The sequence below is a fragment of the Homo sapiens genome, chromosome 1 (genome assembly GCF_000001405.40).
Source record: "Homo sapiens chromosome 1, GRCh38.p14 Primary Assembly".
NCBI classification, from domain to species: Eukaryota; Metazoa; Chordata; class Mammalia; order Primates; family Hominidae; genus Homo; species Homo sapiens.
Window position 1 is genome coordinate 44071144 of NC_000001.11, and position 20878 is coordinate 44092021.

The 20878-nt window shown below is 43.5% G+C and overlaps 1 protein-coding gene and 1 long non-coding RNA gene across 4 annotated transcripts in view, besides 4 other annotated features; one reads left to right on the plus strand and one right to left on the minus strand.

Moving 5' to 3' along the window:
- LOC124904169 (uncharacterized) overlaps nucleotides 1-3946 on the minus strand; it is a 30287-nt gene extending 26341 nt beyond the window's left edge. Inside the window, exon 1 of the long non-coding RNA XR_007066056.1 lies at nucleotides 3848-3946. This is a non-coding gene — a long non-coding RNA (uncharacterized LOC124904169). The remainder of the gene's footprint in view (nucleotides 1-3847) is intronic.
- KLF17 (KLF transcription factor 17) overlaps nucleotides 1-20878 on the plus strand; it is a 91214-nt gene that overhangs the window by 27217 nt on the left and 43119 nt on the right. The gene's annotated exons all lie outside the window — the stretch shown is intronic.
- Nucleotides 2458-2507: an enhancer, noted in NCBI's record as "active region_934". NCBI's record gives its function as "activates an Ori minimal core promoter by ATAC-STARR-seq in GM12878 lymphoblastoid cells {active_cell/tissue: GM12878}" and the evidence as "EXISTENCE:reporter gene assay evidence [ECO:0000049][PMID:35858748]".
- Nucleotides 2588-2637: a silencer, noted in NCBI's record as "silent region_806". NCBI's record gives its function as "represses an Ori minimal core promoter by ATAC-STARR-seq in GM12878 lymphoblastoid cells {active_cell/tissue: GM12878}" and the evidence as "EXISTENCE:reporter gene assay evidence [ECO:0000049][PMID:35858748]".
- Nucleotides 18290-19008: an enhancer, noted in NCBI's record as "OCT4-NANOG-H3K27ac hESC enhancer chr1:44555105-44555823 (GRCh37/hg19 assembly coordinates)". NCBI's record gives its function as "activates a minimal SCP1, AML or CMV promoter by ChIP-STARR-seq in primed H9 embryonic stem cells {active_cell/tissue: H9 hESC(primed)}" and the evidence as "EXISTENCE:reporter gene assay evidence [ECO:0000049][PMID:30033119]".
- Nucleotides 18514-18808: a silencer, noted in NCBI's record as "tiled region #15201; K562 Repressive DNase unmatched - State 8:EnhW". NCBI's record gives its function as "represses a minimal TATA promoter and a strong SV40 promoter by Sharpr-MPRA in K562 cells {active_cell/tissue: K562}" and the evidence as "EXISTENCE:reporter gene assay evidence [ECO:0000049][PMID:27701403]".

Below are 20878 nucleotides of genomic sequence, written 5' to 3' on the forward strand. Positions count from 1 at the left end.
CAGCTGTGACCCTCTCAGCAGAAGTCAGCTGTATTCTCCAACAGCTCTCCTGGTTCCCTTCCACTTCTTACTCCCCTCCTTTCCTGACTTCCTCAAGGTTCTTCTTCCTGGAAATGTTTGTGTTGTTGGAGCTCTGAGCTGGGTCTTTTCTATCCCTCTCCACAGCTCACCCCTCCTATGGTTTCAGTCACAGTCTACACTTAGGTTACTTCTAAATATCTTCCCAGCTCACCCTTGGCTCCTTAGCTCTAGGCCTTTATATCCAACCATGAACTCTTTCAGGTACTTAAATTCACTAAGTCCAAAATTGATTCCTTATCTCCCCCATGATCCCTTCCTTCTCCAGCCTTCCCTGTGTCAGTGAGAAGCATCTTCATCCACTCAGGCCCCAAGCTCAAGCCTTTCTCTCCTATGACCCTGCCTACAACCAACAGTCCTGTTGGCTCCCCTTCCTCAAAAGCTTGAATTTGCTCACTTCCCTCCACTTTCATGGCCACCTCCCTTGTCCTAGTCACTGCTACAATTGGCAGGTCACAAATGCCTCCTATTGGGCTTCCCAGTCTCTACTTCCTCAACCCATTTTCCGTGCTGAAGCCAATCTAGTGAGGTTTCTATGGGTCCTCGTTGGCTCAGCATAAATCCAAGCTCCTAGGGTGGCATTCCAGACTTCCCACGTTCTGGTTCCTGAGACCACCTCAGCATAGCTCTCCACACTCTTGGCTACCTGCTGTCTGCTCCGGTAGTAGTTAACTACCTGGAGCTTCCCCTCCACCCCCATCACACTGTTGCTCCCCTCTGCCACCTGGGCTGCCCTTTGCCTCCTCCTCTTCCTCCTACTGTTTTTTTTTGGGGGGGGACGGGGGGACAATCATGACTGGGCAAGTGATCATGGTGACTTGGACTTGGGTGGTAATGATGGAGGTGGTGAGAATTGGTAAGATTCTGAACATATTTTGAAGGCGGATACAACAGGACTTGTTGATGGATTTGGGTGTGTGGGGAGAGAAAAAAGAAAGGAACCCAGGTTTTTTTTTTTGTTTTTTGCCTGAGCAACTGGAAGGAAGGAGTTGCACTGAGATGGGAAGATAGTGGGAAGTGTGGGTTTGGGTGGGAAGACAAGGAGGACAGTTTTAGATGTGTTAATGGAAATGCCCCTTAGAAATCCAGTCAGGTCTTAAGAGTCTGGATTCAGGGGACTAATCTGAGCTGGAGCTGCACATTTGTGAGTCATCAGTGTGTGGGTGGTATTTAAAACCACAAGAGTGGGCCAGCTGCAGTGGCTCATGCCTATAATCCCAGAACTTTGGGAGGGGTGAGAGGATCCCTTGAGGCCAGGAGTTTGAGACCAGCCTGGGCAACATAGCAAGATCCTGTCTCTACAAAAATAAATAAATAAATAAATAAATAAATAGGCCAGCATGATGGCACATGCCTGTAGTCCTAGCCACTGGGGAGGCTGAGGCAAGAGGATGCCCGGGAGTTCCAGGCTGCAGAGAGCTATGATCACACCACTGCACCCCAGCATGGGTGACAGAGCAAGACCTTGTCTGTAAAATAATAATAACAAAAATAATAAATAAAAAGAAATAAAACCACAATAGTAGATGCGGGCACCAAGGATATAAATGTGAATAGAAAATAGAAGAGGCCCAGGAGCCCCCAGAGCCTCTGACAGTAAGAGGCTGGAGAGAAGAGCTGGAGAAGGAAGAGGTAGTCATGTAGGAGGAAAATCGGAAAACGTAGCATCCCAGAAGCCTAGAGAAATAGGTGTTTGAAGGAGGAGGAAGTGATCAGCTGTGTCAAAGATCAAGTAAGCAGAGGTCTGGGAATTGAGTGAATAAGATTTAATAAGAGGAAGGTCATTAATGATGGTGACAACAGCAGTGTCAGGAAATGGTGTCAGCAAAAGCTTATTGTAACATGTTCAAGAGAGAAAGGACAGACAGGAATTGGAGTAGTTGGGTAGACAATTCTTTCAAGAAATTTTGCTGTAAAAAGGTACAGTAAGATGGGTGTGAGCTGGAGGGAAAGTTAGGATCATGAGAGGTTTCTTCTTCTTCTTCTTCTTTTTTTTTTTTTTTGAGACAGAGTCTCACTCCGTCGCCCAGGTTGGAGTGCAATGGTGCAATTTCGGCTCACCGCAACCTCTGCTTCCTGGGTTCAAGCGATTCTCCAGCCTCAGCCTCCCAAGTAGCTGGGACTTCAGGTGCCTGCCATCACACCTGGCTAATTTTTGTATTTTTAGTAGGACAGGGTTTCACCATGTTGGCCAGGCTGGTCTCCAACTCCTGACCTCAGGTGATCCACCCACCTCGGCCTCCCAAAGTGCTGGGACTACAGGCATGAGCTACTATGCCTGGCCCATGACAGTATTTTTTTTCAAGGATATGGTAAATAACAGCAGATTATTTCTGTGTATTTCTGAGATCGATCCAGTAGAGAGGGAAAAGAGAGGCAAGAGAAGAGAAATATTTGAGGAACTGAATCCTTTTGTTGAGAGAGGAGGAGATCCATTCCCCAAGCAGAGAGGCTGGCCCTGGCTGGGAGGGACCTGAGCACTGCTGCACTCCCCTGGGGAGCCCTTCCTAAGGCACCTGCCTGGCTTCCTGTTTCACTTCCCTCGGCTCCAGTGTCTGCTCTTTGTAGAAGTCTTTTCTGACCACCTTTCTAGAATGATGTTCTCCATCACTCTCTTTGCTTTACTTTTTTTTCTCCTTTACTTTCATATGTAGCACTTCTCATTATAATATAACAAATTTATTTTCTGTTTTCCTTACTACCACAAAAGTTTCATGAGGGAAGAGACTTAGTCTTATTTGCCACTGTATCCCCAACTCTTAGAATAGTTCCTGGCACGCAGTAGCTGCCCCCCCAACAATATTTGAGAAAGAAGGAATAAGTGAGTCTCTTCTCCATGTCCATTGCAACATGCTCAGTTCTCATTCTACCCTTATTTTTATTCCGTTCATCTATAACTCACATCTCTTCCCATTCTCCTTCCCCATCTGTCCAAGCAAACATTCAGGCCCATTTCTGCTGTCATCCTCATCATGCCCCTACCATCATCCCCCGTACCATCCTCACCCCATGTGTACCCATCTTCATCTCGTTTATGTTTTATCTCCTCCTCCCCTCCCCTAATTCCCCTTCTAACTCCTTTCTCCTCTCTGGTCTCTGTCCCCATCAACATCCCCTCTCCTCATCCTCATTGCCTTTTGATGCCACCATTGTGGCTAGCCGCCTTCTGTTGCCATTACCAATGCCGTGTCTGTTCCACCTCTCTCCCCTTCCGTTCCTTTGTCATTGACAAGAGATCTCCATCTCTGCCACCATACCTTCCCCATTCCAGTCTGCCCACCCAGGGGAAGACAGACAGCTTTGCACTGTGTGTCTAGAAGCTGCCAGGGACATAGTTAATATAAGCAACTGTGGGAAGAAAGACAGAGGGAACTGCTTCTTCTCACTTAGTGACTTCAGTAAATATTAACAAGCATATTTCACGAACCAGCACTATTTCCTGCAACAGACATAATAAATGACTTTCTGAAATTTTCTAAAGTATGCTTTTACAAATATTGGCATTATCACAAGCATTGCGACTAGGGTTCCAAGCCTGAGAGATTAAAATAGTCTTTGTGCTAAAAAACAATCTGACTTCTCAGAAGGCCCTTTTCTTCTTTATTTATAATATCAGGAAACCCTGGAACAGTGTCTATAAGTCATGAAAAACAGAGCAATTGAAATGGAATCTCACTTGGGACCCCAGTCACTGCTCCAGACTGACCAGTCAGTGGACAAGGCTTCTCGCATTGCTCACCAGGTTATAACTACTCTGTATTCTTCTTACCTTCAAGAGGAATTATCAAGGTGGGGTGCGACGGCTCATGCCTGTAATCCCAGTGCTTTGAGAGGCTGAGGCAGGCAGATGACTTGAGGTCAGGAGTTCAAGACCAGCCTGGCTAACAAAATGCACACACACACACACACACACACACACACATACACGTATACATTAGTTATTGTCACATACACACAAAGCTATTATTCCCAGTATAATTATAATTCCTCATGTAACTTTGTTTCTAGTTATCTTAGTAAGCTACCAACACAACAGCATAACAGCATAGGTCTCAATTCTCAATCTGGTGTTTGATACTTTGGCATTTTCTGGAATGTATAGTAGTGTTATTTACTAAGGAGGGCACACATTTTTTTCATGGCTAGAATAAAATCACAACGCATGTGGTTTTGTAAAAATCACAGTTGAATTTGCTACCATTCCTGTTGTATGTAAATTTGACTTATAAGAAAGAATGCTTATTTGAACCAGGTATTCAAATATTATTATTTGACCAGGGTCAAATACAAATATTATTAGACCGGGGTCTAATAAGTGTTTCTAACATAGTGTCATTAAGGCCAGCCAAGTAGAGTCCTTGAAGTCCGTCATTTTCTCTTCTAAACAATATTTGGATTTGCCTTGCCAATGTAACAATCCTCTGAGAATCCTATTTTGTTCAAGGTCCATATTAACCAAGCTCCTTCAGACTGACATCTTTTTCCCTATTTTCTGTAAATTATGAAACATTTTTTTCCTCATGTGTATGGTGAGAACAAACAACAATTTATTTGCTCATTCTCCCTTTGATGGGCACCTGAATTACCTCTACTTTTTGTCTACAACAAAACATGCTGATATTAACATTTTTGTTTATGTGATCTGGTTCTGTAAATCTGTACACAAATTTCTAAAAGTCATGAACCTAGGAGTAGAGTTGCTAGGTTGTAGGGTATTACATTTTCAACTTTAGCATGCACTGCCAAACCTTTCCCCAAAGTGGTTGCACCAATTCTGTATTCCATCAGCAATGTATGAGAATCTTATTATGACACAAACTTCATGTGCCTTCTCAGATTCCTCTAATTGCCTTCTTTTCTCTTTCTAAGCACCCAAACTGCACCTGGTCACCTGTCTACATTCAGATTTAGATGAAAGCCACACCATGGAGGCAGCCAGAGGCCCATGGGAGATGTCTGGATTCGCAGAGGAATAGCTCCATGTGATGCAAACCTTGACTAATGGGAACAGGAAAAGGGAGGAAACCAGGAAGATAAATCTCCCTCCCTTCTCATTGCTCCTTGCAACCCTTCCCACTTGAAGCATGACCACATTTAATGAACAACCTGCTGTGTCTCTTGGAAGCTTGCTGCAAGGCAGCAATCAGCACAATAACATTGTATTGTATCTTCCTCTGCTTCACTTCTCTTCCTCCCTCACCCTCACTGCCCTGAGCTGGCACATCCCAAAGAAAGCATTACCACATTAATCCTTGTCTCAGACTCTGCTTTCAAGAGGATCTAGGTGAAGGAAATTCCTATTACTCCACCTCTTCATCACCTCTTCAAATGTCAGACTTTAAAAATGGTGTCATTTTGTTGAGTGTATCTCATTGTGGTTTTAATTTGCATTTTCCTGATTATGAATGGGGTTGGCTAACTTTTCCTATGTTTATTGGATTTCTTCATTTTTGAAGTGCTTGTTTAAGTTTTCTACTAATTTTTCTATTGGGTTGTCTTTTTTTTTTCTTTCTTTCTTTTTAAGACAGAATCTTGCTCTGTTGCCCTGGCTAGAGTGCAGTGATGTAATAATAGCTCACTGAAACCTCGAACTCCTGGGCTCAAGCAATTATCCCATCTCGGCCTCCCAAGTAGCTGGAACTACAGGTGTGCACCACTACCACCATGCCTGGCCTTTTTTTTTTTTTTTTTTTCCCATAGAGACAGGTCTTACTATGTTGCTCAGGCTGGTCTTGAACTCCTGGCATCAAGTGATCCTCCTACTCAGCCTCCCAAAGTGCTGGGATTACAGGTGTGAGCCACTGCACCCAGCCTTTTTCTTTCTTTTTTTTTAAAAAAAAAGAAAAGAAAAAGTGGCTCACTCCTGTAATCCCAGCACTTTGGAAGGCCGAGGCGGGCAGATTAGTTTAGATCAGGAGTTCAAGACCAGCCTGGCCAACATGGTGAAACCCCGCCTCCACTAAAAATACAAAAATTAGCCAGTTGTGGTGGTGTGCGCCTGTAATCCCAGCTATTTGGGAAGCTGAGGCAGGAGAATCGCTTGAACCTAAGAGGCGGAGGTTGCAGTGAGCCAATATTGTGCCACTGCACTCCAGCCTAGGTGACAGAGCAAGACTCTGTCTCAAAAAATAAATAAAAAAGAAAAAAGAAAAAAATGGATTTGTAAGATGTTCCAGTTAACTACTGCTATATAACAAATTACTCCAAAACTCGGTGGCATAAAACAATTATTTTACTAGGCTCGTGAATTCTATGGTTCATTAATTTAGACGGGACACAGTAGGTATGGCTTGTGTCTGCTCTGTGATGTCTGGGGATTCAGCTGGTAAGACTCAAAGTCTGGAAGTGACTCAGTGGCTGAGGGGTAAAATTATCTGTAGGTATTTCACTAACATGTCTGGTGGTTGATGCTGACTATTGTTTGGGGCCTCAGCTGGGGCAACTGGCTAGAAAACCTTCATGGAGTTTCTCCGTGTGATCTCTGCTTCTTCAAGCACAGGCCTCTACACAGTCAGAATTCTTACATGTCAGCTCAGGGCTTCAAAGGCGAGTGTCCCAGGTAAACCAGGCAGCAGTGTATGGCCTTGAACATTACTTCTGTTGCATTCTGTTGGTTATAAGTGAATCTCTAAAGGTGAGCAGATATAGGTCTTTTGTCTCAGTGGAGGGAATGTCAAGGTCACATTGTACAGAAGTACGTGGAATTGGAGTTATTGTTGCAGCCGTCTTTGGAAAATACATCTGCCACATCCTGCTCTTTATATTTTCTGGATACTAGTCCCTTATTGATTATATATGCTGCAAATATCTTCTCCCACTCTGAGGATTAGTTTTTTTGCTGCCTTAATGATGACTTTTGTTGAACAGAAGTTTACTTTAATTTGGCAAAATGATCAATCAGTTCCTTTATGGTTGGTGCTGTAGATGTCTTAATAACACTGAAACCATGAAGCAAGCTATTCTTTTATAATGCCTTCTGAAAGCTTTATGATTTTGCCTTTCACATTTAGGTAGTTACACAGTTACTATGCAATTTATTGCTGCTTGACTCCAAATCCAATCTTCTTTGCCCTGCTTTGTGATACTGGAGCCAGACCTTGTAAACATTTCTGCTTTGTCACCTGACACAATGGTAGATCTTGCCAGAAGAAATTGCTGGAGGGTCATTGCCAGAGGAAGGGGCTCCTCTTCCCGGTTCTGGGGCTTTTCCTTCTTCTTTTTTTTTTTTTTTTGAAGGAGTTTTGCCCTGTTGCCAGGCTGCAGTGCAGTGCAGTGGCGCAATCTCGGCTCACTGCAACCTCCGCCTCCTGGGTTCAAGCAATTCCCCTGCCTCAGCCCCCTGAGTAGCTGGGACTATAGGTGCGTGCCAGTACGCCCGGCTAATTTTTTGTATTTTGGTAGAGACAGGGTTTCACCGTGTTAGCCAGGATGGTCTCAATCTCCTGACCTCATGATCTGCCCACCTCGGCCTCCCAAAGTACTGGGATTACAGACACGAGCTGCTGTGCCCGGCCGCTTTTCCTTCTTGTTCCACTGGTGTGGATGCCAGCAGGCAGCTTCCCAGCTAGGCACCCCCACAACAGGTGGTTTCCTAGCAAGTTTCACCAGTGCCCCAGTGGACCGTTTCCTTCCTGCCACCCTGGTCTGTGGTACCTTCTCTCCCATCCAGTGGAGCACAGTGACACCCTCTACAGGGAGGTCTGAATCTCAGCCTCAGCCTCCCAAAGTGCTGGGATTACAGGCATGAGACACCGTGCCTGGCCCCTCCATGTCTTAATTATCATATTTTACAATAAGTCTTGGTAGCTGATAAAGTATGTTCTTCCTCCATTTTAATTTTCTTTAACAGTATGTTGAATTTTTATCAAATCCTTTTTTCTGCCTTTAATTAGATGATCTCATATTTTCTTCTTTAATTCATGGGCAGCTCTATTCCAAGCTTACTCCTTTCCTTGGTACTCTGCCTTCACCATAGAGAGGGTGTCTGCTCCCTACATCTGCTATGCCTGTATTATTCGGAGTTCTCTGCACATATAATTTAGTTAACCCCTTGTGACTAGTTAATCATTCTTTTCTTTTCTTCTCCTTTTTTTTTTTTTGAGACAGTCTTGCTCTGTTGCCCAGGTTGGAGTGTGTTGGCGCAAATCACAGTTCAGCCTCGACCTCCTGGGCTAAAGCAATTCTCCCACCTCAGCCTCCCAACTAGCTGGGACTATAGGCACATACCGCCACCATGCTCAGCTACATTTTTTGTTATTTTTCATAGAGGTGAGGTCTCACTCTGTTGCCCTGGCTGGTCTCAAACTCCTGGGCTCAAGCGATCCTCCCACCTCAGCCTCTCAAAGTGCTAGCATTACAAGACGTGAGCCACCACGCCTGGCCTAGTAATTCTTTATATTAAAATTTCCCTGTTCAAATTACTGGTATGGTTTCTTTTTCCTGACCGGAACCTGATTGACAAATCAGTCAGATTTAATCCTCCTGGAAAATATTTCATATATGGTATGAGATCAGAGTTCAACTTCATTTTTTCCATCCAGATAGCCAATTGTCTGAGTGCCATGTTTTGGAAAGAACATCCTTCCCCTATTGTTCTTTGGTGACGGCTCTGTCATATATCAGGAATCCATATATGCTTGGGTCCATTTCTAGCCTGTCTGTTTTACCCATTTTTCTATTTGTGCCTGCACTAATCCCTCCATGTCTTTTTTTTTTTTCTTTTTTTGAGACAGAGTCTCACTCTGTCGCCCAGGCTGGAGTGCAGTGGCGTGATCTCGGCTTACTACAACCTCTGCCTCCTGGGTTCAAGCAATTCTCCTGTCTCAGCCTCCTGAGTAGATGGGATTACAGGTGCGTGCCACCATGCGTGGCTAATTTTTGTATTTTTAGTAGAGATGGGATTTCACCATGTTGGCCAGGCTGGTATCAAATTCCTGACCTCGTGATCCACTCACCTTAGCCTCCCAAAGTGCTAAGATTACAGGCGTGAGCCACCGTACCTGGCCCCTCTGTGTCTTTTTTTTTTTTTTTTTTTTGAGACGGAGTCTTGCTCTGTCGTCCAGGCTGGAGTGCATTGGTGCAATCTAGGCTCACTGCAAGCCCCGCCTCCCGGGTTCACACCGTTCTCCAGCCTCAGCCTCCCGAGTAGCTGGGACTGCAGGCGCCCACCACCACCCCTGGCTAATTTTTTATATTTTTAGTAGAGACGGGGTTTCACCATGTTAGCCAGTATGGTCTCCATCTCCTGACCTCGTGATATGCCCGCCTTGGCCTCCCAAAGTGCTGGGATTACAGGCGTGAGCCACAGCACCAGGCTCTCTCTGTGTCTTAATTATCGTATTTTACAATAAGTCTTGGTAGCTGATAAAGCATGTCCTTCCACTATTTTAATTTTCTTTAAAAGTATGTTGAATTTTTATCAAATCCTTTTTATCTGCCTTTAATTGGATGATCTCATATTTTCTTCTTTAATTCATGGTGAATTATATTGAATTTTTTTTTTTTTTTTTTTTTTGCAGGATCTTGTTCTGTTACCCAGGCTGGAGTGCGATGGCGTGATCTCGGCTCACTGCAACCTCTGTCTCCTAGGCTCAAACAATCCTCCTGCCTCAGCCTCTCAAGTAGCTGGGACTATAGGCATGTGCCACCATGCGTGGCTAATTTTTGTATTTTTTGTAGGGATGGAGTTTTACCATGTTGCCCAACCTGGTCTCGAACTCCTGGACTGAAGCAATCCACCCACCTTGGTCTGCCACAGTGTTGGGATTATGGGCAGAAACCACCGCACCCCACCTCAAATTTACATAATTTAATCTTATATGTTAATTTAATCAAAATGGACAACTAATATGAAAGAAAATCTACTGCATGAGGAAGTATACCACTGTAAGATAGAGTAACAAAACAGATTTAGTTAATCTGTTGTGCCTAGGAGGCAGAGGTTGCAGTGAGCCAAGATAGCGCCATTGCACTCCAGCCTGGGTAACAGAACAAGATCCTGTAAAAAAAAAAAAAAAAAAAATTAGTTAATCAGATTCAGTTAAACAGATTTAGTTAATCTGTTTTGTTATTGTTGGTTCTGTAACACTATCTCATGTTAAACTAAATCTGTTTAGTTTAAAGCACTAGGTTTAAACGAAGCTTAGCTCAAAACTCAAAGCTCTAGGTTTCTAGTATTGGCATTTTCCCCATGGTAGTTTTTTTTTTTTTTCTTTTGAGACAGAGTCTCATGTCACCCAGGCTGGAGTCCAGTGGCACAATCTTGGCTCACTGCAACCTCCACCTCCCGGGTTCAAGCAATTCTCTTGCCTCAACCTCCCAAGCAGCTGGAACTACAGGTGCCCACCCCCGCACCTGTCTAATTTTTGTATTTTTTTTCCCATAGAGATGGGGTTTTGCCATGTTGGCCAGGCTGGTCTTGAACTCGTGACCTCAAGTGATCCACCTGCCTCAGACTCCCAAGGTGCTGGAATTACAGGCATGAGCCACTGCACTTGGCCTCCCCATGGTAGTCTTGTTTCCATATGGGCACATCACCGATTTCAGCTTTTTGTGTTTGTTTCAGGCTCCTAGAGATTTTCCTTAGTTCCTTGTACTCCTAAGTGTATAAATATCTATTTGTTGAAATGTATCCACTATCAATATATTTTAAAGAAGAGCTTTTCAAAATATGTAGTGAGCCATACCGCTAGTGGCAGAAGTCTTTTTTGTTGTTACATCATCTAGAATGTTATTATATGTGACATTACCAACTTGTTCTAAAATGTTAAATAATTTTTCTTAATGGACCTGGCAACACCATATATTGGGAAAGTTAATGTCCAGAGCCTTTCCATTTCAGTTATTTCTCCGAGATTCCATAATTTTGCTTAGGGGAGAGACTAGAAGTGGTGCATAACCAGAATAATATCCCCATAATCACATAAGCCAGACCAATTCCTTAGGAACCAAAAGTAAGCTCATGTACCACAGATGAAATAAGTCCCAGTAAATGATCACCAACAGTCTAATTGGGTAATTGAGCAACTGAATAGCGGAAGATTAAGATACAGTGATGTATTGAACTCAGGGAAATATCATAAGGATTAATACAACATTCATTATAATTACATTGGCTATTGGCCACAGGAACTAATCCATTTTGAATGAAACATTAAAACCCTTTAATGGTGGTGGCTATTTGTGGAAAGAGTGTGGAAGTATTGGAAATTACACCGGGGACTGTGTGCATTCGGAGGGTTTTATTGGTCCTAGACCAGCAGCAGTCAGAAACAATTTTGTGTATGTCCCCAGGCTTCAAAAGCCTCCCTAGATGAGGGACATTGGTATCATGGGGGTTCCCTGAGAACAGATTCAACACTCAGAGATAGGAAGTTTCTTTATGAACAGAAGGGATAGTTTAAGAAAAGTGTCATATTTTTATCCCTGGATTTTTGACACACAAAAGCCATACACCAATATTCAGACAAAGGTCCATCAGTCATTTTGAAACTTTTCTTGATCTTTTTGATAATTCTGTTCTTTCTGGAGGGGAAGATCCTTATTACCTTGGTAAGGCAAGTTGTCTCTACCTTAGAAACGCGACCCCAAACCAAACTGATACATTCAGAAGGGAAAATGTGACCAGCACTGTGATAACTGCTTGGTAAAGCTGACCTCGTCATTTGGTCTCTTGTTCATAGAGCAGAGGGGGCCAGCACACTCACTGTGTCTTTAAACTTTTTTTTTTTTTTTTTTTTGAGACAGGGTCTCACTCTATTGCCCAGGTTGGAGTGCAGTGGTGCCATCATAGGCCACTATACCTTCAAACTCGTGAGCTCAAACAATCCTCTCACCTCATCCTCCTGAGTAGCTAGGACTACGGGGCATGCCACCACACCCAGCTAATTAAAAAAAAATTTTTTTTTTGTAGAGATGAGGCCTTGCTATGTTACCCAGGCTGGGCTCAAACTCCTGGGCTCAAGCAAGCCTTCTGCCTCTGCCTCCCAAAGTGCTAGGATTATAGGCATGAGGCACCACACCCAGCTACCTTTAAACTTTTGAGGTGAGAATTGAGTAGGGTTTTTTTTTTTTGGTTAAATGAAAGAAAATTGTTAATTGCTTAAGTTTTTTCCTTGCAGAAGAGAGGTTGGTGACAGAATTATTCTCTTGAAAGTTGTAACCTCTTACCTTGCTCACAAACTAGCCCACTCCCAGCCTCCTGCTCAGTTGGCATCCAAGGAGCAAATAATAAGCCAATAGAAAATATCCAGCAAGTTGTTCTTAAGGCTAAAAGCTCATGAAATAGGCACAAGAGCCAGGCGCGGTGGCTCACGCCTGTAATCCCAGTGCTTTGGGAGGCTGAGGAGGGTGGATCACAAAGTCAGGAGTTCCAGACCAGCCTGGCTAACATAGTGAAACCCATCTCTACTAAAAATACAAAAATTAGTTGGGCATGGTGGCGGGTGCCTGTAGTTCCAGCCACTTGGGAGGCTGAGGCAGGAGAATCCTTTGAAGACGGGAGTTGGAGGTTGCAGTGAGCCAAGATGGCACCACTGTATTCCAGCTTGGGAGACACAGCGAGACTCTGTCTCAAAAAAAAAAAAAAAAAAAATGGCACAAGAAGCTGCCATGCCCCTGAGGCAGACATCTTCTCAAGCTGAGAAGCCTGGTCCAGGGTGCATGGGTGGTGAGTACAAGCCGGGATCGTCCTCTCTAGGAAAGTTCAAGTGACGCTTCTTTCCTCTGATTAGTCTTCATGTATATTCAACCTCCAGCTCAGTTTCACCAGGGTGATTGTTTAGACTCTTGTTTCTGTGCATGGAAAGTTTGGACACACTTCAGTAATGCTTTGTGAATATCTAGCAAAATCCCATTTTATACATAAATGTTTTCCAAGTGGATGGTCACTGGAACTGTAGAAGGAAGTTGCATGTGCCTGTACACAATTCTTGAGAATTATAGGCAAGACATCTGGCCATTTTGGTCGATACATTTTAACCAATTTATGTTTCAAAATCCCATTTTGGCTTTCTACTATCCTCAGCTAATTGTGGGTGGTGTGAGCAGTGATGGGATTAGTGTGTCAGTAAGACATTACACATTTCCCTATAATCGGATCTGAAAACTAAGGGTTATGATCACTGTTGAAGGTTAAAGTTGCCTAATCCTGGAAGCGAAGCTCTTAAAAAGTTTTTGCCAGGTACAGTTGCTCACGCCTATAATCCCAGCACTTTGGGAAGCCAAGGTGGGAGGATTGCTTGAGCTCAGGAGTTTGAGGCCAGCCTGGCCTCAAAATTTTTAAATTTAAAAATTCAAAAAATTTTGAAAGTTAGCTAGATACGGTGGCTTGTACCTGTGGTCTTAGCTACTTGTGAGGCTGAGGTGGGAGGATGATTTAGGCCTATGAGGTCAAGACTGCAGCTTGCTATGATCCTGCCACTGCACTCCAGCCTGGGCAACAGAGCAAGATCTTGTCTCAAAAAAAAAAAAAAAAGTTTTTGATTGGTGGTGACTGCATAAGCCTTTGCTCATTGCTGAGCAATGAGCACATTTAGAACACATTTTCTCTGTGTTCTAAAAACATACATGAAGGCAGGCACGGTGGCTCATGCCTGTAATCTCAGCACTTTAGGAGGCCAAGGCAGGCAGAATGCTTGAGCCCAGGAGTTCAAGACCATCCTGGGCAACATAGTGAGACCCTGTCCCTAGAAAAAAAATAAAAATTAGAAAAAAAAAAAAAGAATTACCAAGCCATAATCTGGGTAGAAACAACCTAAATATTTACAAATACCCTTTGTGGTAAAAGATGAGGTACTTGTATTTATGGGCAAGTGAGCATTACTGTTCATTCATTCAGTGAATGTTTATTGAGTGCCTACTATATATATATATGTATATATATATGTGTGTGTATATATATGTGTGTGTATATATATGTGTGTGTATATATACATATAGTTGTAGTTGCTGGAGATAAAGTGACTAAAGCAGGCAAAAACGCCTTCCCTCATGGAGCTTATGTTCTAAAGGGGAAGACAGAAAGCAAACAAGGTACAGAAGTAAATTATATGTTATGTTAGGTCACACCTACAGAGAGAAATAAAGGAAGGAAAGCAAATAGAGAGTATGTACATGGTAGACAGAAGAGGATTGCAATTTTCAGCTGGGTGGTCAGGACAAAGCTTCACTGAGAAGTGGATCTTTGAAGAAAGCTGGAAGGAAGTAATGGTGAGCCATGTGGCTATCTGAGGAAAGAGCATTCCAAGGCCATGAGTAATAACTTTTGCCTAAATTCCATTAAGAAAGAGAAGTTGGACACGGTGGCTCACGCCTATAATCCCAGCACTTTGGGAGACCAAGGTGGGAGGATCATTTGGGCCCAGGAGTTCAAGACTAGCCTAGGCAACATAGTAAAACCTCATCTCTACAAAAAATAAAAATAAAAAATAGAAAGTTAGCTGGGCATGGTGGTGTTGCTTGTAGTCCCAGCTATTCAGGAGGCTGAGGTGGGAGGATTGCTTGAGCCCACGAGTTCGAGACTGCAATGAGCTATGATCATGCCATTGTGCTTCAGTCTGGGTGATAAAATTGAGACTCTGTCTCAACAAAAAAAAAAAAAAAAAAAAAAAAAGGAGAGAGAGAGAGCAATGGCATGGTACATTCCTGTTATTACTGGAGGTCTGGGAGATGTGGAGGAACCAGTAAAGCTTTTCACTGAGGTAGACTGAGGAAGACAATAAGCAGGAGATAATGCTGTTCTGGAAACCAAGTGAAGAAAAGGTGTCCAAGGAGGAGAGAGTGACCAACTCTGTCAAATGCTGCTGGTCTTCCAGTAAGACGGGAAGCAAGAGCAGACTAGCCCTGGAGGAGCATGGGGTGAAAACCTGACAAGGGGGCACTGGGAAGACCAGATGGAGGGAAAGTGGAGACGCTGAGTATAGACACTTGTGTTGAGGGATTGTGCTTTAAAAGAGAACAGAGACGGTGGGGCGTGGTGGCTCACGCCTGTAATCCCAGCACTTTGGGAGGCCGAGGCAGGCAGATCACCTGAGATCGGGAGTTTGTGACCAGGCTGAGCAACATGGAGAAACCCCGTCTCTACTAAAAGTACAAAATTAGCCAGGCGTGGTGGCGCATGCCTGTAATCCCGGCTACTCGGGAGGCTGAGGCAGGACAATCACTTGAATTCGGGAAGTAGAGGTTGCGGTGAGCTGAGATCGCGCCATTGCGCTCCAGCCTGGGCAACAAGAGTGAAGCTCCATCTCAAAAATAAATAAATAAATAAATAAATAAATAAATAAATAAAAATAAATTAAAAGCAGAGAAACAGTACAATAGCTGGAAGGGGGAATAAGAAAAAGCTTAGCCTTTGCCTTTTTGTTTCCTGGGTTTTTGGAGAGTTCAGAAGCTAGTACAGCATCTTTGCATCCTGATGGTGATTATCCACTGGAGAGTGAATAACAACAGTATAGGAGAGTTAGGGAAATTGCAGGAGCAAAGAGAGGGCACAGCCAGCCCAGAGAGAAGGCAGAGGATTTGTGTAAGGATGCTGTTGGCTTGGTGAATTTGATGGCTGTGGGAGTTCTCTCCTGGTGGCCTCCATTAGTGAAATAAGAAACAAGGTCATCAGCAGAGAGTTAGGATGGAACATGTATAAAGAGGGAGGAAAAGCTGTGAAATAATTAACTCAGAGAGGAGGAGAGTTAATGGACTAGAAAAATGTAGAATAATTGCCAGGAAGTTAAGTGCCCACTTGAGGTAAGTGGTCATGAATTTAAAGCAGTCCAGTCAACACAGTTGCTTTTCTTCAGCCATATTCGGCAGCATCGATGTAGATATAGAAGAACTGGATTTCACAAGGGTTTGGGTTTTGCCAAGCAACTAATACAAATTGAGGGTTGATAATACAGTTGAGGGTAATTGCAATGGCTGATTATGATTGAGCATGGAATTTAAACTGGGTGAGGAAGTGTATTGGTCAGTTCAGGCTGCCGTAACAAGATATCACAGAATGGGTGACTTAAACGACAGACATTTATTTTGTCATCTTTTTTGTTTGTTTGTTTATTTTGAGATAAGGTCTTGCTCTGTCACCCAGGCTGTATTGCAGTGGTGTGATCATGGCTCACTGCAGCCTCCACTTCCCTGGGCTCAGGGGATCCTCCTACCTCAGCCTCCCAAGTAGCTAGGACTACAGGTGTGCACCATCACACCCAGCTAATTAAAACAAAAAAAAATTTTTTTTAAAGACAGGGTCTCCCTATGTTGCCTAGGCTGGTTTCAAACTCTTGACCTCAAATGATCCTCCCACATCAGCCTCCCAAAGTGCTGGGATTATAGGTGCGAGCCACCACACCCGACTATTTTCTTCTAATTTTAGAAGCTGGACTTCCAGGATGGAGGTACAAGCAGGGTATGGTAGGTTGCTGGTGAGGCTTGTGACATCTGCCTTCTGGCTGTCCTCACATGACCTTTCCTCTGTGACTATGCAGAGAGCTCTCTGGTGCCTCTTCCTATATATTTTATATATATATATATATATATATATATATATATATATATATATATACACACACACACACACACACACACACACACACGCATATATAAACACACACACACACACATATATATAATATATATGAAATTATGAAATGAGAAATGTGTGTTTAATGGCAAACCTTGGCACATTCCAACACCAGGAATGGCATGAGGTCACAGAAGCAGGTATGGGTAGGTGATCTCCATGGAGCTTCACATGATGAAGAGGATGAGGAAGACCACCATCAAACAGAAGAGTCCCATGGACTCAGACAGGACAAAGCTGACAATGGCACAGGAGAAGAGCTGCTGCTTGAGAGATGGGTTCCTGGCATAGCTTGATCAAGCTGCCAAGCACTCTTATTTTTATTTATTTATTTATTTATTTATTTTTGAGGCAGGGTCTTGCTCTGTCACCCAGGCTGGAGTGCAGTGGCACAATCACAGCTCACCGCAGCCTTAACCTCCCAGGCTCTAGCGATCTTCCTACCTCAGCCCCCCAAGTAGCTGGAACTATAGGCGCCACTATGCCTGGCTAATTTTTGTATTTTTTTAGTAGAGATGGGGTTTTGTCATGTTGGCTAGGCTAGCCTTGAACTCCTGACCTCAGGTGATCTGCCCACCTCGGCCTCCCAAAGTGTTGGGATTACAGGTGAGCCACAGCACCCAGCCTGCTTAGGCTATTTAGATGAATTCTCTGGCCTGTTCAGGAAGGAGGCAGATGCAGGCCGGATCAGAAATGGAAACAGAAGTAGAAGCCCAGTGGTCTGCATCTTTTCAGTCTGCACTCCCACTGCCCTGCAGCCCTTTCTCAGCCTTGTCTAAGGTGATTTCTTCGTGTTCTTATAGGGACACTAGTCCTATGCGATAGGGCCACTCTTACAACTTCATTTAGCTTTAATTACCTCTTCACATGCCCTATTTCCAAATGCAGTCACATTGGGGGTTAGGGTTTCAATGTCTGAACTTTGGTGGGGGGCACAATTTAGTCTGCAACAGGAAGGAGTGAGATAGATGAGGGCACAGTGGTAAGATGAATGCACTGTAGGTAATGATCACTGGAGCTAGAGCGTTAGGTGTGAGCTGAAAATAGGAGGAGCTGATTGGAGAATGGGGTGTGTGAAATTGGGAGCAAAGAAGGGTTGCAATAATTTGTCATAACAAAATCTAGGGTATGACTATGGGGATGAGTGGCTGACTTAGTGGATAAAAAGACCACAGGAGGAGGGTATGCTAAGGAACCGACAGGCCAAAGCATTAGAAGGAATATCTCTACTGAAATTAGCAGGAATTATCACATGAATGGTGCTGAAGAGAGTCACAGTGAGCCAGGTGTTAAATCTTCAAGAAGGAGGGAGCATAACCTAAGGTAAAATAAGGGCAATAAGGCAGGGGTACACTGTGTTGGGGGAAAAATGCAGCATAACCAAACACAAGTCATAGAAGAAAATATCTGCAATGCATGTAACTACTAGGAGGGTCACAGATTGGATTCTCCAGATGCAGATGCTGAGATGGAATCTGAGGTGCAAGAAGCTTAGTAGGGATCAACTCTTGTGAAAGGAAGGAGAAGGAAGCAGGATTGGGCAGAGGAAGAACTTGAACTGAGAATCAGGCCCCACAAAGCCTCAACCAACCCAGCAGGGAGCTCTGGAGCAAACACTGTACATCAAAGTGTTCTAAGTTAGGCCAAAATAGCTGGGCCTTTCTACCAGCTACGGATTGCTGGGAAGCGTATGACCTTGGGTGAAGCAGCTCTCTGCAGATGAGGCAGATCCTGAAATAGCTGACAGTTGGAGGCTGTCTGCCTAATGCACTCCCTGCAGCTGGGCAACAAGTTCTTCCTTGAAGGGGGATCTGGGCAGTGCGTCTCTGTGTCTGCCACAAAGAGAGTTGTATTTTATTTTGCAAACATAAAGAACCCGTACAAATCACTATGAACTTCTGAGTTGCCAAAGATAATAGTGGCTGTCCAAATCGGAATCGCTTCATATCCCAAGCAACCATATAGAACAAAGGTCAGCAAATAACATCCTGTGGGCTAGGCACCTGTTTTTGTCAACACATCAATTAGTTCATGCATTGTATGAGTGCTTCATGTTACAAAGGCAGGTTGAGTAGTGTGATAGACAGTATGGGATGGGTGCGGTGACTCATGCCTGTAATACCAGCACTTTGGGAGGCCAAGGGGGGCGGATCACTTGAGTCTAAGAATTCGAGACCAGCCTGGCCAACATGGTGAAAACCTGTCCCTACTAAAAATGCAAAAAGTTAGCCGGGCGTACTCGGGGAGCTGATGCGGGAGGATCCCTTGAGCCTGGGAGATCAAGGCTGCAGTGAGCTCTGACCATGCCACTGCCTGGGTGATAAAGTGAGACTCTGTCTCAAAAAAAAAAAAAAAAGAGAGAGAGACAGTATGGCCTGGAAGCCTCAATTATTTACTATATGGCCCTTTTAAGAAAAAATCTGCTGGCCAGGTGCTGCCACACCTGTAATCCCAGGCAGGAGGATCTCTTGAGGAGTTCTAGACCAGCCTGGGCAACACAGTGAGATCTTGTCTCTACAAAAAAAAAAAAAAAAAAAAAAAAAAAAAAAGAAAAGATTTGTTGACTCCTGGTTCTTGATACAGAAAAAAATAATAACAAAAACTAAATTCTCAGCATAACTGGATGACAGAGAATTCCTAAACTTTAAATTACCTGTAAGTAGAAAAAATAAACACCAAATTCCAGTGAGATGGCTTTCACAGTTCTACTGCAAATCTTTGTGGAGAGCAAGGGCAGTCCTGGAAAAACTGTGGAAGAGAAGAGGGGGCAGGTAACAGCAGGCCAAAGATTGATCTGAAATCATTGTGTTAAAGAGAAAGTCCGCCCTAAGAGAAACAACACGAAAACGAATCCTGTAGATCAGAGCACTGACCACGGGGAGGGACTGAAAAGGGCAGCGTAGCCTCAAGGAGACAACCTCAGAAAAGTCGCGCTTCTGGGGAAATAGAATGCAAGAAAGGAAAGGAGAGGCACACTTTGAAGATTAGGTGGTGAAGGGGAAAAGAATCAAAAGGTGCTATAACCAGTGAGTACCCAGGGGGAGAAAAAAAGAATCAAAAGAGGAAAATGTAGGGCATGTAACACAAAACAGAACCCAAAACTTGCAGGAGATACAATTCCCACCACACACACACACATGCACACGCACACACACACACACACGCACGCATGCACACACACACACAGAGCCATCCATTAAAGCAGCAGTTGTCAGACTTTTTTGTTTTCAGGACTTTGTTATACTCTTAAAATGAGTACCCTAAAGAGCTTTTGTATTTGTAGGTTATATCTATCAACATTTACTATATTCAATATTAAAACTGAGAATTTAAAAAGTATTTTAGGAATTAATTTAAAAAGAATAATAAACCAATTCCATATTAACATAACTAATTTTTAAATGAAAAATAACTATATTTTCCAAAACAAAAAATTTCATGAGAAGAGTGGCATTTTTTTTACATTTTTACAAATCTGTTAATATCTGGCTAAACAGAAGACAGCTGGTCTTATATCTGCATGTCTAAATTCAGTCTGATGCAATATCACATGTCCTGTAGCTCCTAGAAAAGTCCATACCTCTGGGCCAGGCACTGTGGCTCACACCTGTAATCCCAGCACTTTGAGAGCCTGATGCAGGTGGATCATTTGAGGTCAGGAGTTTGAGACCAACTTGGCCAACCTGGTGAGACCCTGTTTCTACTAAAAACATGAGAATTAGCCAGGCATGGTGGCACGCACCTGTAATCCCAGCTACTTGGGAGGCTGAGGTAGGAGAATCTCTTGAACCTGGGAGGCGGAGGTTGCAGTGAGACGAGATCGTGCCACTGCATGAGACTCCATCTCAAAAAAAAAAAAAAAAAAAAGAAGAACAAGAAAAGAAAAAGAAAGCTCCATACTTGTTAAGAGAATGAAGGTCAGAAAGACAAAAGCATATTAGTATATTCTTAAAATAGTTTTGACTTTGCAGCTACTTGAAAGATTTTGGGGACCTTAACGGTTCTTGAATCACACTTTAAGAACTGCTGTATTCATTGCTTGAGCCTAGGAGTTCGAGGCTGCAGTGGGCTAGGATGGCATCACTGCACCCCAGCCTGGGGGGTGAGAGAGAAAAACTCTGTCTCAAAAAAAAAAAAAACCCAAAAAACAACAACAACAACAACACACACACACTCTCTCTCTCTCTCTCTCTCTCTCTCTCTGCCCACTTCCCTCCCCCAAATTTAAAAAGA